The sequence below is a fragment of the Homo sapiens genome, chromosome 20, assembly GCF_000001405.40.
Source record: "Homo sapiens chromosome 20, GRCh38.p14 Primary Assembly".
Classification (NCBI taxonomy): Eukaryota; Metazoa; Chordata; class Mammalia; order Primates; family Hominidae; genus Homo; species Homo sapiens.
This window is the reverse complement of record NC_000020.11, coordinates 62,247,093-62,264,363: the sequence shown is the minus strand read 5'-3', so window position 1 is coordinate 62,264,363 and position 17,271 is coordinate 62,247,093. Positions and strand designations below refer to the sequence as shown.

At 51.9% G+C, this 17,271-nt stretch overlaps 1 protein-coding gene across 4 annotated transcripts in view, besides 1 other annotated feature; it reads right to left on the bottom strand.

The window, feature by feature from the left end:
* The window catches only part of OSBPL2 (oxysterol binding protein like 2), a 57,663-nt gene that overhangs the window by 31,820 nt on the left and 8,572 nt on the right, over window positions 1–17,271 (bottom strand). For 2 of the 4 annotated variants that reach the window (NM_001363878.2, NM_144498.4), the window contains exons 2-4: window positions 8,143–8,307; window positions 4,239–4,383; window positions 673–748 (exon numbers count right to left, since the gene is read on the bottom strand). Coding sequence is in view for 2 of the 4 variants with exons in the window: in NM_144498.4 (NP_653081.1) it covers window positions 673–748; window positions 4,239–4,383; window positions 8,143–8,179 (258 nt within the window). In the remaining 2 variants the exon portion in view is untranslated. The remainder of the gene's footprint in view (window positions 1–672; window positions 749–4,238; window positions 4,384–8,142; window positions 8,308–17,271) is intronic. The other 2 variants (NM_014835.5, NM_001278649.3) reach the window with 2 other exon arrangements.
* Window positions 7,136–7,636: an enhancer, noted in NCBI's record as "H3K4me1 hESC enhancer chr20:60831784-60832284 (GRCh37/hg19 assembly coordinates)". NCBI's record gives its function as "activates a minimal SCP1, AML or CMV promoter by ChIP-STARR-seq in primed H9 embryonic stem cells {active_cell/tissue: H9 hESC(primed)}" and the evidence as "EXISTENCE:reporter gene assay evidence [ECO:0000049][PMID:30033119]".

The following is a 17,271-nucleotide window of genomic DNA, read 5'->3' as shown; positions in this document are numbered from 1 at the left end:
CTGTAACTTCTGGGTGCTCATTCCCAGCTGGTTTTTCTGTCCCAAACCCTGAGCACCTGACAAAGGCTGACACCCCTCCTGCAGCTCAGCATGTGGCCAGGGAGGGTGCCACGGAAGCCCCACCCACCTCACGCAGGCCACAGGGCTGGATGGGTGCTTGCAGGATGGTTCTTATGTCCCGTTTCACCTACAGAACACCTCTTCCCCTGACTTGCTTGTTCTTTTCCTGTTTTATTGTCTTAATCTCATGCTGTTTATAAACATGAGAGTGCATTTTTTTTCTTTTTTTTTTTTTTTTGAGATGGAATCTCACTCTTGTCACCCAGCCTGGAGTGCAATGGCACGATCTCGGCTCACTGCAACCTCCGCCTCCTGGGTTCACGCCATTCTCCTGCCTCAGCCTCCCGAGTAGCTGGGACTACAGGCGCCCTCCACCACGCCCAGCTAATTTTTGGAATTTTTAGTAGAGACGGGGTTTCACTGTGTTAGCCAGGATGGTCTCGATCTCCTGACCTCGTGATCCGCCCACCTCGGCCTCCCAAAGTGCTGAGATTATAGGCGTGAGCCACCGCGCCCGGCCAAGAGCGCATTTTCTTAAACCACCAGCACTGCAATACCTTCCCAGGAGTCAGTGGTGCAGCCCCATGTGTGAACACGGGCCCCCGGACTCACCAGGCCAACACACTTCTTCAGGATGGTCCACACGCTGAAGTCGCTTCTGCTGAACATGGGAGCCGGCAGCGATGTCCTGCGAAGCACAAAAGGGGTGCGTGTGGGTGAATTCAACACAGGACTCTGACCACTCAAGGAGGCTGTGCTCAATGACGATTTCTCTTTAATTTTTACTCCTAAACATTGGCATTTCTACATTCTGGCATGCCTAGGGACACAGGGCACGACTGCTGCCTAGAGGCCTTCCACACCCATGTTCCCAGGGCTTCCTGGGAATGGTCATGACAACAAAGATGACTCTGCAGTCTTGGCCCCGCAGTGGCCCTGCTGTTGTTTCCTCTCAGAGCTGGAGGACAGGGTGGCAGCTGGAGGGAGTCCCTCTGCCCGCAGAGCCCACAGCCTTCTGGGGGCTCCTGCTGGGTCCCTGGGGCAGCGGCCAGACCACAGGCAGAGGTAAGAGGGCAGCAAGAGTGACCTGAATTAAAAGCTGTTCCGCCCTTTAAACACGTGCTTGCTTTCCTGAGGAGCATTTCTTTCCAGGTAATCTTCCAGTCGGCTGCAAGGCGGAGCCCATGCCCTCATGCTTGCACCAGGAGACCCTCACCCCCACCACTGCTCACCACTCATCAACCGGGACCACTGACCCGGGGCCCTGGTCTCCCCACCAGGAACGTGGAGCTGGAATGAGATACTGTCTCCATCTAGGAGGGGAGCGCCTGAATGGAGACATAAACTTGGATTTGGGGAGAGGCGTGCCAGACCCACACAGGACACCACAGAGCAGGGTGCAAAGAAGGTGCTGCAGAGTAGGGGCCCGGGGCTCCCTGCTGCTCACAGCCCTCCAGGGACACCCCAGGGCTCTCCTGCTGAACTCCCATTTCATGGAAGCTGCTTTGAGGGGCGTTTTGCCTCACACCCAGCAGAACCTTGGCACCAACACTCTGACCTCCAGAGTGATGAAAGCACGAGCTCTTGTCTGCTCTGCTCCCGAGCTATGCCCCGGGAATGCCACGTCAGGGCAGCTGGGTCAGGGCACACTACTGGTGTCAGGGGGCAGGAGGGAAAGGACATGGCAGCTATGAGGCAGGGTGGAAAAGAAAAGGAACATCTGCTGAGTACCAGGCCCGGGCTGCCGGAAGCCAGCACCCAGCTCTGCTCCGCCATCGTCCGTGCACACATTCAGTGAATACTTTGTGATTCGGAGGTGCTACCAGGAGGGGAAAGTGGCTCTGCAGAAGGTCAGGTCGCATCCCCCAAGGATACGACCCTGCATGGAGATGGGATGCGTAGGAACAACAGACATGAAAGAAGAGAAAAGAGGCCCCAGGCCAAGGGAGCAGAGGGAGCTGACACACCCGAGGACCTGAAAGAGGCCCCTGCAGCTGGGACGGGAGGCAACAGGGCTCGGGGCCAGGCCTGAGGGCACAGGTGAGGGTGCTGGCTTTCTTCCTAAGAGGTGAGTGACCACATGGTGCACTGTCCGAGCTGGGTCATTTCTTCTAGTATAACAGGGCGCCATTCACAGTTCTGTAGGAGCAGGAGTGTGAGGCCGGCCATGTGGTCATCCTGCCTGAGTTTTAGGCAGAGGGTGACGGGGTGGGGGGGGGGTCCAGATCTGTCTTTTGAAAAGTGCCTCTGGGCTGGGCATGGTGGCTCCTACCTTTAATCACAATACTTTGGGAGGCCGAGGCAGGTGGATCACTTGAGGAGGTCAAGACTAGCCTGGCCAACACGGCGGAACCCTGTCGCTACTAAAAATACAAAAATTAGCCAGGCATGGTGGCACATGCCTGTAATCCCAGCAACTCGGGAGGCTGAGGCAAGAGAATCATCTGAACCTGGGAGGCAGAGGTTTCCGAGGTCACGCCACTGAACTCCAGCCTGGGCGACAGAGTGAGACTCCGTCTCAAACACAATAAATACACATATACACAAATGCCTCTGCACAACAACAGGAATAAAAGGCAGGGATGCAGAGGCCACTCTGGAAACAAGGGTGGTTGGGTAGACGGGCATGTTGCAGAGCAAATGGAAGAACTGAAGGACCTAACAGCATTTAAAGCGACCACAGAGTCAGGGCTAGAAAACGGGGAATGCAGGAGCGGGGGTGGGGGCTCCCATATCTGTAGGGTGAGAGAACGAACAAACAACAGGTGAGATGCACATGTGGGTGCCAGAGTGGACCCACCAAGCAGGCGTGTGGGCCTACAGCTCGAAGGAGAGCCTGAGGCCAGGCTGGAGCAGCTCCCTGGAGCTGAGACACACATTAGCGGCTGTGCCTGGAGCCTGCAACGCAATGCCACCAGCTCCAGGGCCACTGCCTGTCCCACCTGACACTTGTCCTGCCTTTGTGCCTTTTTTTTTTTTTTTTTTTTGGAGATGGAGTCTCACTCTGTCACCCAGGCTGGAGTGCAGCGGCGTGACCTCGGCTCACTGTAACCTCTGCCTCCCGGGTTCAAGTGATTCCCCTGCCTCAGCCTCCAGAGTAGCCGGGACTACAGATGCGCACAGCCACGCCCAGCTAATTTTTTGTATTTTAGTAGAGATGGGGTTTCTCCATGTTGGCCAGGATGGTCTCAATCTCCTGACCTCATGATCCGCCCACCTCGGCCTTCCAAAGGACTGGGATTATAGGCATGAGCCACTGCGCCTGGCTCGTGCTTCTATCAACAAAGACTGAAGACTTCTTCCCTTTATTTTTTGAGCCAGGGTGTTGCTCTGTTGCCCATACTAGAGTGCAGCGGCGCCATCGTAGCTCACCATAGCCTCGAACTTCTGGGCTCAAGGGATCCTCCTGACTCAGCCTCCCAAGTAGCTGGGACCAGAGGCGTGCACCACCATGCCCAGCTAATTATTTTAATTTTTTTCTAGCAGTGGGGTCTTGCCATGTTGCCCAGGCTGGTCTCCAACTCCTGGGCTCAAGTGATCCACCTGTCTCAGCCTCCCAAAGTGCTGGGATTACAGGCATGAGCCACCGCGACCAGCCAAGGACTGAAGACTTCTTGTGATGGCCACTGTCACTGGACTCTACCTACATGAAAACGAACGTGGAGGAGGAGGAAAGGGAATGAGGTCTTGCTACAACAAGGAAATTAAACGCTTCTTGTCCTGTAGGGGTCAGAGCTGAACACACTGCAATAGAACTCCGCTGAGACAGAGGATGAACTTGGCCGCCCATGGAAAAGCAGGCAGATCTGTAGGAAATCAGCAAGGGGTCTGATGATCAAGACGCCATGTACTGTTTGCCAGGCCCTGACAAAGCCTGTGTCACCCCAAATCCTCTCACAGCAACTCCTGAGGGCAGGGAGGGGAACAGAGGCATTTCTTAGATGGGGAAAGGCACTGCTCAAAAAATTGCCATCTGTGGATTCCAGGAGCCAAGAGAGGCATGGAGTCTCTCTGAACCCTTGCTGGCCAGACAGAGGAGGCTGTCCGGATGGGGAGGCCAGACAGCTGTGGGGGTGCCACTCCAGCTCAATGCTCGTGAGGGCTGAGGGGTACCCTGCAGAGTATTTTTGGGGTGATTACAGACACATTTTAGAAACAGCAGACGTGAGAGAACATACCTGTGTTTCTGAATTCCGTTCTCTTGAGAGGGCCTCTCCCCAGTTTTCCCAATCCTATTATTTTTGCTGGTGTCTAAGTCAATCATTCCCGTGACTTTCTGATTTGCCTCTGAAAATTCCCCAGAAGAGTTATCAGAATCAAAGCCTGTGCGAGACAAGAAAATGGTCATTTTCGCTGGACCTGAAAGATTTTTTAAAAGCCTACCTCCAAGAATTCTGACTATGCAAGCAGGTGACTACAGAGCTCAGTTGTGTGAACGGACACATTTGGAAGAATTAACTCTGGTTCTCCAGAAGCAGACACGGTACAGAGAGAACAGGAGGGTGCCACGGAGCTTCCCTCCTAAGAACGCGCTCCCAGCGAGCTCCAGTGCCCAGGCTCCTCCCACGCTTGTGATTTGAGGTCCAGTCCCAGGCCATGAGCTTCATCTTCCAGAAGGAACCCTTTCATCATTTTAATCTGTGACCTACATGCTCTGGGTGGGCCACTTCTATCGGATTCAAACCCATCCCAAGGCTGCGATGCGCCCGTTGTGGCTCAGGGCTTGTGACCAAGGTCTGCGTCTTGGTCTGAAACACGCCTGCTGACAGTGTTTCAAGGGAGACCATCGTGGCACGCAAAGGCACCACTAAACTGTACCCAGATAGGGAACAATCATGGAAATGCCACACATGTGACTGGACTCAGAGTGGACTCCGGATGAAGGGGGACTCTGGAGAAGGAGCTCTTTAGAATGTGAGTGAGATCCAGCCATGCATGCACTCCTGGAGCAAAAGTCCTGGAGAAGAACGGCCGGCCGCTGCCCTGGTGGGGTGGGCCCTTCCCCAGGACAGAACGGGCAACTAGGGAACAGGAACATACGTCTCCCTTCAACTCCTGTCAGTCTGAGTTGCTGGAAGGGCCAAGTTCTGCTCCAGAGCCGGGTGGAGTGGGGGCTGGGTCCCCGCGATGAGTTTATTCCATGGGGGCTCTGGGCCTGCAGCAGCCGGCAACCACCCAGTGCTTCCAGGGTCTGAGGGCTCCACGTGAGGGGCACAAGCCCGGGAGGGTCAGGTAGACAACTGTGGTCGGACCCCACACGCAGATGAGTCTGCCACAGGCTCCAGAAGAACAAAGCAAAGCTGCTGTGTCCTGCCCCTCCACACAGCAGAGTCCATCCATAAAGGCAGTGCTGGGGTGGATGACATCGTGATTTTGAGAGGATGGGTTAAAAAGGAATCCTGAAATGGCCCACAGTTTCTGAAATACCCTGCCATCTCTCATGTTTTGCTCTCTGTCCCAAAATCAACATCTCTAACTTCTCACTCTGAAGTTATCTTAAAAACATTCCCTACTTAAGGGAATTCCGTGGGGCAGGACCTGCCCCCACCCCGAAGAATAAAGCAGCACATCCCGGGCAGCCACTGCAGCCTCTGACTCAGCCAACACTACATGGATGGCCTAATAACATTCTAAGACCTGGCAGCCACCACAGCCTCCGACTCAGCCAACGCTACTCGGATGGCCTAATAACATTCTAAGACACCACATGCATTTATTGTAGAAAAACAGAAAATACAGATGAGCAAAGGAGGAAGCTGAGATCTCCTATCGTCGGCTCCCTCGGAAACCCTTGTTTTTATTAGCCCCTCTGCGTTCATAGCCCTTAATCCCATACACACTGTTCATGTCCTCCAAACCTTTCCTTTGAATGGCACTGATTCTTAAGACAAATTAAATGCCTAATGAAGTCATTCATTTAATAACTGCTTAGTTTACATACTTTTGAAATTAGAGTTACAAAGTCAGATGAGTATTATAGGCGGTGAAGGAGTCGAGAGTCTACCTCTAGCACGGGTATTTCATCGCATAAAGAGATGAAGTGGTTTTTTCCTTCCATTATTTGTTTTGAAGCCCAAGAACTGAGGGGGAAAATTCTTGTCACCTAGATGTCTGTCCCTTCCACCTCATCCTTGGGGACACATGGAGAGGCCTTGCCATGCAGGAGCAACGCCCCACAGCCCCGCACACCCTGTGGCTCCTAGAACAGTGGAGTCCATCTGAGTACCACATCACACACAGCTGGGAACCCTGGGAAGTCACAGCAAACTGACTCAAAAAGCTCAGAGTTGGCCAGGCGCAGTGGCTGACACCTGTAATCCCAGCACTTTGGGAGGCCAAGGCAGGTGGATCACCTGAGGTCAGGAGTTCGAGACCAGCCTGGCCAACACGGTGAAACCCCGTCTCTACTAAAAGTACAAAAATTAGCCAGGCGTGGTGGTGGGCGTCTGTAATCCCAGCTACTTGGGAGGCTGAGGCAGGAGAACTGCTTGAACCCGTGAGGAGGAGGTTGCAGTGAGCTGAGATCACGCCACTGCACTCCAGCCTGGGCGACAAAGCAAGACTCTGGCTCAAAAAAAAAAAAAAAAATGGCCAGAGGTATTCGGGAAAGTATCAGTCACACCAAGACCCCAGACAAAAAGGACATCCTATGAGACTCCCAGGAGAGGAGGGACCTCAAGGCTGCGCTCTCTGTGACAGACGTGGCATCCCACTAGAGGTCAGCCCAAGGGTGTGAGAGCCTGACAATCCCTCCGCTGTGTGGGATTCAGCAGAGAACACAGAACCACCATGGATGAGTTGCAAGCTCCATGGACCCTCCTCTGAGAGTGCATCCGAGGCAAACACGCTGCAGATAATTCAGCTACGAAATCATGGAAAATGACTTCGAAATTGAGCCTTTGAAGCCGGTAAGGAGCGCATCATCCCCTTCTCCTGGGGTTTTGGATAAGAGTAAGTCAACCATCTTGAGCTGCCAGCGCAGGTACAGGAGCAGCACAGCCTCGGGACAATCAGCCCGCTCCAGCAGGGCCACGGACCGGAGGCGCCACCAGAGCCATCAACATCCTCGGGGTGTGGCCACAGAGACCCTCCTGACACACCCACCCTGGCAGGGCCACAGACTGGAGGTGCCAACGGAGCCATCGCCGTGTCCTTGGGGCATGGCCATAGAGACCCTGACAGATCCTTGAGCGGCAGTAACCGCAGAAGTGCTTCTAAAGATCATCACTAATTCCTGGCCTGCGGCCACATTTCCAAAGCCACTCCTTTCTGATCCCGACGCCTAAGGACAAGGGAACATCAAGGAGAATCTCCTGATGCCCCTTCCCACCAGCAATGGTCCTTTCCAGAAAAAACAAGCGGAATTCCAGATGCTGACTCCGAGGCACAGAAGAGTGGAGAATGAACATGAGGACCTGACAAGACACGAGCTCAAAGGGTTTCAGGCTCTTCCCTGTGCCAGGAGAAGGGGCGGCTCTGGAAGGCCAAGCTGCCAGCCCCGCCTGCCCTTTCCTCTAGCCGCCCCGTCACATGCCCATGAGCCCTGCAACACGGTCTTCATTTTCTTCTTTTTTTGAGTGACTGGATGCCAAAACACATTCTTTTCAATTAGGCCACAGGATTTCATTCAGACCACAGGCTGCATGCCGCCACTTTAAACCATCGTGCGAAAGAAAAAAATAACTGCACTCTGCGGCTGTGAGCGCAGCTGCAGACCCAGGGGTTTGCTGTCTGATGGGATGCATCAAGCAGTGCCAAGCAAGACAGGGTCATCATATCTAGAACGTTCTCATCATGAAGCAGAAATAGGGGAAGAAGATGGCTATCTCAGGAGACAAATGAAAATATCCGCACCCCAGGAAACTCTTCGGGAGACTTAAACCCTGTCAGCCAAAGTCAAGGCTTTTCCCACCTCTGAGATGGATGTCAGGTTTTGCTGAACAGTCCGTGTTTGGGATCGTGAACGCTCACCCACACACTGCTTTACTGAGCATCTTTACACCCCAAACGCCAGGTCCAACATCTGAATCCAGGGACGTTCACCCTTCCAGTACGTCCCCAGTTGGTTCTCTTTTGACTCACCTGTGACGGCATCAAAGAATTCTTCCTCTCCGTTCATCCTTCAGCAGCCAGCCTCCACTGCCCCTGACATGTGCTCTTCTACTGAATCATCGTATCTGATCCACATCTACAGTGTAAGGAATTTTACAAACTTTCTCTTGGAAAAATCCAATAGACACTGAAGATCTAAAGGGAAAAAAATTTTGGCATACTTAGCTTCCAGAAGTTTCACGGTTTAAAAACATTTTAAAAATACCCATTCACCATCCTAAAATCAATCTAAATTCCATGTAAGCAAATTAGTAAAATAAATTATCACATCACAAACATAATTTCAAAAAGTAAACGAGAGGGAGCATTTATAACGGAAGATCAATCAATGAATAACAGACCAATAATTCAGCCCTATAACAAGAGTTGTTTCTAAAAAGCATTATTGGCTGGGCATGGTGGCTCACGCCTGTAATCCCAGCACTTTGGGAGGCTGAGGTGGGCGGATCACTTGAAGCCAGGAGCTTGGGACCAGCCTGGCCAACACGGTGAAACCCTGTCTCTAACTAAAAATACAAAAATTATACAGGCGTGGTGGCGCACGCCTATAGTCCCAGCTACTTGGGAGGGTGAGGCAGGAGAATCTCTTGAACTCGGGAGGCAGAGATCGCAGTGAGCTGAGATCGTGCCACGGCACTTCAGCCTGGGTGACAAAATGAGACTCTGTCTCGAAATAAATAAACAAATAAATAATTAAAATAAAATTAAAATAAAATTAAAAGCATTATCTACAGTTATGTAAGAAAACAATAAAACATTAATTTGGGAAAAGTCATGGGCGCAGGGTGTGGTGGCTCACCCCTGTAATCCCAGCATTTTGGGAGACCGAAGCCGGTGGATCCCTTGAGGTGGATCCCTTGAGGTCAGGGGTTCAGAGACCAGCCTGGACAACATGGTGAAACCCTGTCTCTACTATAAATACAAAAATCAGCCAGGCGTGGTGGCAGGCACCTGTAATCCCAGCTACTCAGTAGGCTGAGGCAGAAGAATCGCTTGAATCCGGAAGGCAGAGGTTGCAGTGAGCCGAGATCACGCCACTGCACTCCAGCCTGGGCGACAGAGCGAGACTCCATCTCAAAAAAAAAAAAAAAAAGTCATGGGGGCAGTCAGAGAGAGCAGGTGAGCTTCAATGAGGTGTTCAGCATCCGAGGTTCAAACACGGCTCTGGAAGTTTTGCTGAAAATCATTGCAAACATTCACCAGAGGCTGGAACAAGTGGCTGTATAAGTAAATGGAAAATTATGTCTAAAATTTCACAACTACCTGAAACCAACATCAATTCTAGAGAATTGAGGCTGCTATGTAAGTTAGCTACTCCCAGGATAAACTGAAGTAAACTTACATTTTCTCACAACGACCTTAGCTCAATATTCTAGAACTCATGCACATTAGTGTCTCCCATCAGGAAAAGCAGCGTTTGATGAACGACAAGAGAAGGAAGCCAAAATCAGCATCCTTACTTGTGTCAAAAATACAAAAACCAGCCCAGAGCTCTCTGCACAGTTCTGAGGGTGAGGGCGCCGGGGCGAGAACGGCCCCCAGTGCTGGGTGACCCCTCAAGCGGCTCATCCCGCAGCCCTGCCACAGCCGCACGGGGCAGCAGCAGCTGCTTCCCTCCAGACAACAGGACAGCCACCACGTCCCCTGAGAGACTCTCCAGTGTCTCCCGGTTCCTCCCTCCTTCCCAGCCAGACTGCGGCAGCCCCTGAAGGCCGGCGCAGACAGCCCTGCTCACGGCCAGGGTGTGCTTGCCCTTGCAGACGGGAGAAGTTGCTGTCACTCACTCAGGTCCCCTTCACAACTGCAGCGATGTGCTTCCCCCTTCAGAGCACTGAGGAGCCAGGGCTTCCTGAGGAGACGCGGCTGAATCCAGGACTGGGCTCCTCTTGCCATGGTAGCAAGGAAGCTGCCTGCCCAGAAAGACTGGGGTGTAGAGTTGGAATGTGCGTCCCTCCAAACACATGCTGAGATCTGACTGCCATGTGACAATGTTAGGATGTGGGGCCTTTGAGAGGTGGTGGGACTGTGAGGGCTCTGCCCTCAGGAATGGCTTAATGCTGTTTTATAAAAGGGTCTGTTATAAAAGGGTGAGTCGGCCGGGCGTGTTGGCTCACGCCTGTAATCCCAACAGTTTAGGAGGCTGAGGTGGGCGGATCACCTGAGGTCAAGAGTTCCAGACCAGCCTGGCCAACATGATGAAACCCCATCTTTACTAAAAAAATTCAAAAAAAATTAGCCCAGGCATGGTGACAAGTGCCTATAATCCCAGCTACTTGGGAGGCTGAGACAGGTGAATCGCTTGAACCCGGGAGGCAGAGGTTGCAGTGAGCCAAGATCACGCCCCTGCACTCCAGCCTGGGCAACAAGAGTGAAACCCCATCTCAAAAATAAATAAATAAATAAATAAAAGGGCGAGTTTGGCCCCCTTTAGTGTGCTCTCTCCCCCTCCCTTTGCCTCCCCCTCCTTCTCCCTCCCTTTCCCTCTCTCCTCTCTCTCTCCCGCTCTCTTCCCTCCTCTCTTGCCCTTCCACCTTCTGCCATGAGATGACAGCAAGAAAGCCCTCAGCAGACACCAGCACCTTGGACTGGACTTCCAGACTCCAGAACGAGGAGCCTGCACATTGCTGCTCATTCTAAACTGCCCAGCCTGTGGCACTGCTGTAGCAGCACAACACAGGCTACGCCAGGGGCTCTCACCGAATGACTCAGGATGAACCTACAGAAGCTCCCACAAGAAAGAGGAGACAATCTGAGCACCAGTACATGGGAAAAGGCTGAAACACGGTGAATACATTCAAGTCCAGAGTTCCTAAGATCCTAAAAAGGAGATTAACTGGTCATGGTGGATGATGCCAGTAAGCCCACAAGTTATTTTGAAACTGGCAATCAAGGAGATAGCATCCTGCCTTCCCTACACACACTGCTGTGCCACTGTCGCCAGGTAACAGGTGAGGAAATTGCGCTTTATGGAAGCATCCCAGCAAATGGATGAACAAGGCACACAGGTGCGTGACCATCACCATTAGACGACACTGGAGAATTCACACATCCAGGCACTGAACCCCGAGAGACGGCCTTGGGTGCCTCCCGGGGAGAGATGACACTGCCACTGCTGAAGCAGTTTTGCCCGGAACACTGAGCCCAGGTTTGTCCAGTTTCTAGCTTTATCTACTGACATGGTCTGGATGTGTCCCCACCACCAAACCTCCTGTTGAGATGTGATCCCCGGTGTTGGATGCAGGCCTGATGGGAGGTGTTTGAGCCATGGGAGTGGATCCCTCACGGCTTGGTGCTGTCCTCCTGGTCCTGGGCAAGGATGAGTGCCCATGAGATCTGCTTCTTTAAAGGCGTCTCTCTCACTCCTCCTCGCGCCATGTGAGGCGCCTGCACCCGCTTCGCCTTCCACCACGAGTAAAAGCTCCCTGAGGCCTCCTCAGAGGCTGAGCAGATGCCAGCGCCATGTTTCCCGTAGAGCAGAACCGCGACCTAATTAAACGACCTTTCCTTATCAATTACCCAGTCTCAGGTATTTCTTTATAGCAACCCAGGAACAGCCTAACACACTTCCCAACCTAGGGAAGTACAGAGACCAGAGGCCACACCACGGCGACTCAGCAGCAGCACCCGGACCCCTGGCACCTCGCCCAGCAGAGCTGGCCTCTGCAGAAAATCAACCACATTGAAAAAGGAGGCGCCCGGGAGGAGAAAGGAAACCTCGTGACTTTGACTGAGCAGCCACTTCTTAGGCGTGGGCACACCATGTTCGACTACCTGCGAACGTGGGGGTGCAGTTAGCAAAACCCATGCACGACCAACCCAGTCTCTCCAACAAATCAATTACAAAGACAGAAAGAGAGAAGGAGAGGGAAGGCTTCTCACCATCTTGATTATGGTGATGTTTTCACGGGTGCACATGCGTGTCAAAACCTATCGTACATGTTACATGTGTGCAATTGATTATATGCCAATTATACCTCAAAAAAGCTGTCTTTAAAAAAAAGACATACTGGCCAGGTGCAGTGGTTCCCGCTTGTAAACTCAGCACTTTGGGAGGCTGAGGCAGGTGGATCGCTTGAGCCCAGGGGTTGGATATCAGCCTGGGCAACATTGCAAAACCTCATCTCTACAAAATACACAAAAATTAGTCGGGTGTGGTGGTGCGCCCACCTATGGTCCCAGCTACACAGGAGGCTGAAGTGGAAGGATCACTCGAGCCTGGGACATCAAGGTTGCAGTGAGCCATGGTTGCATCACTGCACTCTAGCCTGAGTGACAGAGCAAGACCCTGTCTCCAGAAAAAAAAAAAAAAAAAAAAAAAAAAAAAAAGGCATACCAATTAAAATGACGCTTGAAACAGGATGCAAACAAGGCCTACACACAGGCAGACAGGATTTCATGGAGACATTTATAAGACAGTGGAAATCTAAACACAGTGAGTATCTGATGGTAGGAGGATTCCTGCTCATTTTTAAGATGTCACGACAGGCCAGGCGCAGTGGCTCATGCCTGTAATCCCAGCACTTTGGGAGGCCGAGGCAGGCGGATCACCTGAGGTCAGGAGTTCAAGACCAGCCTGACCAACATGGAAAAACCCCATCTCTACTAAAAATACAAAATTAGCCAGACATGGTGGCGCATGCCTGTAATACCAGCTACTCGGGAGGCCGAGGCAGGAGAATCACTTGAACCCAGGAGGCAGAGGTTGCAGTGAGCCGAGATTGCACTACTGCACTCCAGCCTGGGCAACAAGAGCAAAAATCTGTCTTAAAAAAAAAAAAAAAAAAGTCACGATAGTATGAATATCTTTTTGAGAGAACCCTAAAAAAAAAAAATTGTCCGGGCGTGGTGGCTCACGCCTGTCTGTAATCCCAGCACTTTGCGAGGCCAAGGCGGGTGGATCAAGAGGTCAGGAAATCGAGACCATCCTGGCTAACACAGTGAAACCCTGTCTCTACTAAAAAACAAAAAATTAGCCGGGCGTGGTGGCCGGCGCAGTGGCAGGCGCCTGTAGTCCCAGCTACTCAGGAGGCTGAGGCAGGAGAATGGCGTGAACCCAGGAGGCAGAGCTTGCGGTGAGCCGAGATCGCACCACTGCACTCCAGCCTGGGCAACAGAGTGAGACTCCGTCTCAAAAAAAAAAAAAAAAAAAAAAAATCTATTGCTCTGCACTATGTGAAAAGCCTCCCAGAATAGAAGGCAAGTTAGAATTAGAAACCATTTTATTCTCCCTTTTGCTTGTTTATTTATTTATTTATTTATTTATTTTTGGAGACAGGGTCTTGCTCTGTCATCTAGGCTGACATCAGCGGCACAATCGCCGCTCACTGCAGCCTTGACCTCCAGCACCCAAGCCATCCTTCCACCCCCGCCTCCTGAGTAGCTGGGACCACAGGCGTACACCATCATACCCGGCTAATTGTTTAAAAAACTGCTTGTAGGGACAGGGTCTCTCTATTTTGCCCAGACTAGTGCTGAACTCCTGGACTCAAGTGATCCTCCCGAATCAGCCTCCCAAGGTGCTGGGACTCCAGATGTGAGCCACTGCACCTGGCCCGCTAGCCTTTTTTAAAATGCTCCCCTGCCTATAACAAAAGTCTAATGTCAAAGGTAAATCAATCACAGCTTATGGGAAATCTTTAAAATGAGGATTAAGATGCCAGACACAAGCTTAGCTGGACAACTGAGACACCGATGTCGCCTGCTACTGTGTGTTTGTGCCGTGTGGTCCAACCAAGACTGAAGACCCACCTGGGGAGGGCTTTCCGGTCAACAACCAAAGGGACACCCAGAGGTCACAGTGCCCTCAGACCCCCACATCTGCATGTGCGACAGTGAATTCCAACACAGCCTCCCGGTCGCTCCTGAAGGAGTTGCCATAACAGGCACCACACCCTGTGTCTCCTTCTACACTTACCAAGGCCCAGAAAAATGAAGAGGCCTTATCCAGAGCCCATACTACTACCCAACTATACAGATGACTATGCAAGACAACTATGATCCTACTCATTCATTCAACAAACACTCACAGAGAGCCTACCTGGTGCCAGGCCTTGAGGTGGAACTGTGGTGGTCCCGCCCTCATGAAGCCGGTCACGAAGGTGCTCCCAGGAGGGCCCTTCTTGGGCAAGTTCCTAAGGGGGCAACCCTGGAGCTGAGCTCAGAGTGAGCCTTGGGGGCAGGGAGAAAAGACAGGAGGACCAGGGTGTGCTGGGAAGCACAGATGGCCCCATGGGGTCGAGGAGCGCCTGCCCCAGCCAGGTCCTCAGTCCTTCCTCCCTCCCATCTGCCCACCCCTGGACTTCTCAGAGGCCTGGGTGGGGCCAGGTGTGGTGGCTCAGGCCTGTAATCCCAGCACTTTGGGAGGCTGAGGCGGGTGGATCACCTGAGGTCGGGAGTTCAGACCAGCCTGACCAACATGGAGAATACCCCTTCTCTACTAAAAATACAAAATTAGCCAGGCGTGGTGGCCCATGCCTGTAATCCCAGCTACTCGGGAGGCTGAGGCAGGAGAATTGCTTGAACCTGGGAGGCGGAGGTTGCAGTAAGCCGAGATCGCGCCACTGCACTCCAGCCTGGGCGACAGAGGCTGTTTATTTTATTAACAAATAAATAAAAATTTAAAAAGCAAAAATAATTTTAAAAAGCAAAAGTTAGGCTTCATAATTGAGTATCAAAGTTGAGGAATATACAGAAAGTTAAATGTTTAAGAAAAAGCATTAGGAAGGCAGAGTTTATTTCCTGAATATGTTCTTCCACGCGCAGATCTCACTTTGCACTCAGAAAACAATCCCCAGAGAGAGTATTTCAGGAACAAACTTTGCTGGGGTTTTCTGTCTGTTTTAAGGGGCTCTTTCTGTTCAACTTCTCCCTTTTCTACTTCTAGAGAAAAACCCTGGGGCCTGAGTCTGTGCTGGGCATCTCTGCTGGCCTCTTGCCCTTTGTCCTTCTCCAGTGAGATTTTTTTTTTGGGGGGTTGGGGGGCACTTCCTTGGCCCCAAGGACGCCATCCCTGCAGGCCCCAGTGAGTCTCAGTTCCCCTAGCCCAGGGAACTCACCAGTCCCTTGAAAAGGACCCCAGCACACTTTCTTAAAGGTGCTGTCCCCGTCCCACCAGGATCTCAAAATGTCCTACCACTGGTATGAAGACTTGGACTCAAGTCGTACAAACCCATCTTTATGTTTTTCTCAGATGTGGGCCCTGCACGGTGGCTCACATCTATAACCCCAATACCTTGGGAAGCCAAGGTGGCAGATGGCTTGAGCCCAGGAGTTTAAGACCAGCCTGAGCAACACAGTGAGATACTGTCTGTACAAAAAAACAAAATAAAATAAATTAGCTGGGCACAGTGGCACGTGCCTATAAGTCCCAGCTACTTAGGAGACTAAGGCAGAAGGACTGCTTGACCCCAGGTGTTGGAGGCTGCAGTGAGCTATGATTGCTCCACTGCACTCCAGAGAGGGCAACAGAACAAGACCCTGTCTCTTAAAAAATAAATAAATAAATAAATAAATAAATAAAGCAGATCTGACAGTTCAGGAAGTTGGTGAACGAGACTGGGGATCCGGTGCTGACCACCACGGGCGACCTGCTGGAAGTTCAATTACATGTTGTTACTCTGTCCATCAGAAACAGGCAGGGCACCCCGGACATGCTGGACACAGAGAGTGCACTGATCACAAAAAGATTCTAAAATCACTTCTGAGGTTAAACATCAATTCTAAGTTCATACAGTTCTGCCCAGACACGATGGCTCATGCCTACAGTCCCAGCACTTTGGGAGGCCGAGGTGGACGGATCACCTGAGGTCAGGAGTTCGAGACCAGCCTGGCCAACATGGTGAAACCCCATCTCTACCAAAATATACAAAAATTAGCCAGGCATGGTGGCGTGCACTTTTAATCTCAGCTACCCAGGAGGCTGAGGTGGGAGAATCGCTTGAACCTGGGAGGCAGAGGTTGCAATGAGCCAAGATTTAGCCATTGCACTCCAGCCTGGGCAACAGAGCGAGACCCTGTCACAAAAAAAAAAAAAAAAAGAAAAGAAAAGAAAAAAGAAAAAAAAAGAAAAGAGAGAAAATATAAGTTTTATTTCATAATTTAAAAATACATCAGCAAGCAGCACTAACAAATAAACAACTGTGCACAGAGCCTTATGTGGTATTTTGCTGAAAGGGAAAACGTTCCCACTATTAACAACGATGGGGTTCTGTCTTAGAAAGGACCCTAAGGGGCCGGGCGTAGTGGCTCACACCTGTAATCCCAGCACTTTGGGAGGCCGAGGTGGGCGGATCACAAGGTCAGGAGTTCGAGACCAGCCTGGCCAATATGGTGAAACTCCATCTCTACTAAAAATACAAAAATTAGCCGGACATGGTGGCAGGTGCCTGTAGTCCCAGCTACTAGGGAGGCTGAGGCAGGAGAATAGCTTGAACCTGAGGAGGAGATTGCAGTGAGCTGAGATTGCACCACTGCACTCCAGCCTGGGCGACAGAGCGAGACTCCAGCTCAAAAAAAAAAAAAAAGAAAGAAAGAAAGGACCCTAAGGACCCCATCCAACACTACTTCCATTTGAAAGAATGCTCCTCCTCCTGCCTCCTCCTGCCTCCTCCTGACAGGTCAAAGAATGCTCCTCCTCCTGACAGGTCAAAGCCACTGGCAGAGACTTTCAAACTCATTCCCGTAGGGATCACACTGCGGTCAGGCATGGCCGGGGAGCTACAGTCCCTCAGTCCCCGCGGTCCCGCTGAGCTTCGCAGGGAGGCAGCTGCGGCGTGGGGGCAGCAATCATAAGCCAAGGTGCCAGGGCAGTCACAGGGAATGGGTTCCACAGGCCTGGTTCTGCTCCACAAGAGGCCACATCCAGCACAACCACAGAGCAAGCGACCCCAGAGGACCCACAGGAAGATCTTCAGTGCCTAAGCCAAGAGGCAAGCTCAGCCATCCCTGCACTCACTCAAGCCGACGTGCACATCAAACCAGCTTCCAGGGCCAAGCGAAGTTCCCGGTGCAGCATCGTGCACTGAAGAGCACCTGCCATCCGCTCAAGGTCAAGGCTAACACGTGAGCCCAACCACAGTGCAGAGCAGAACTAGGTCAGGC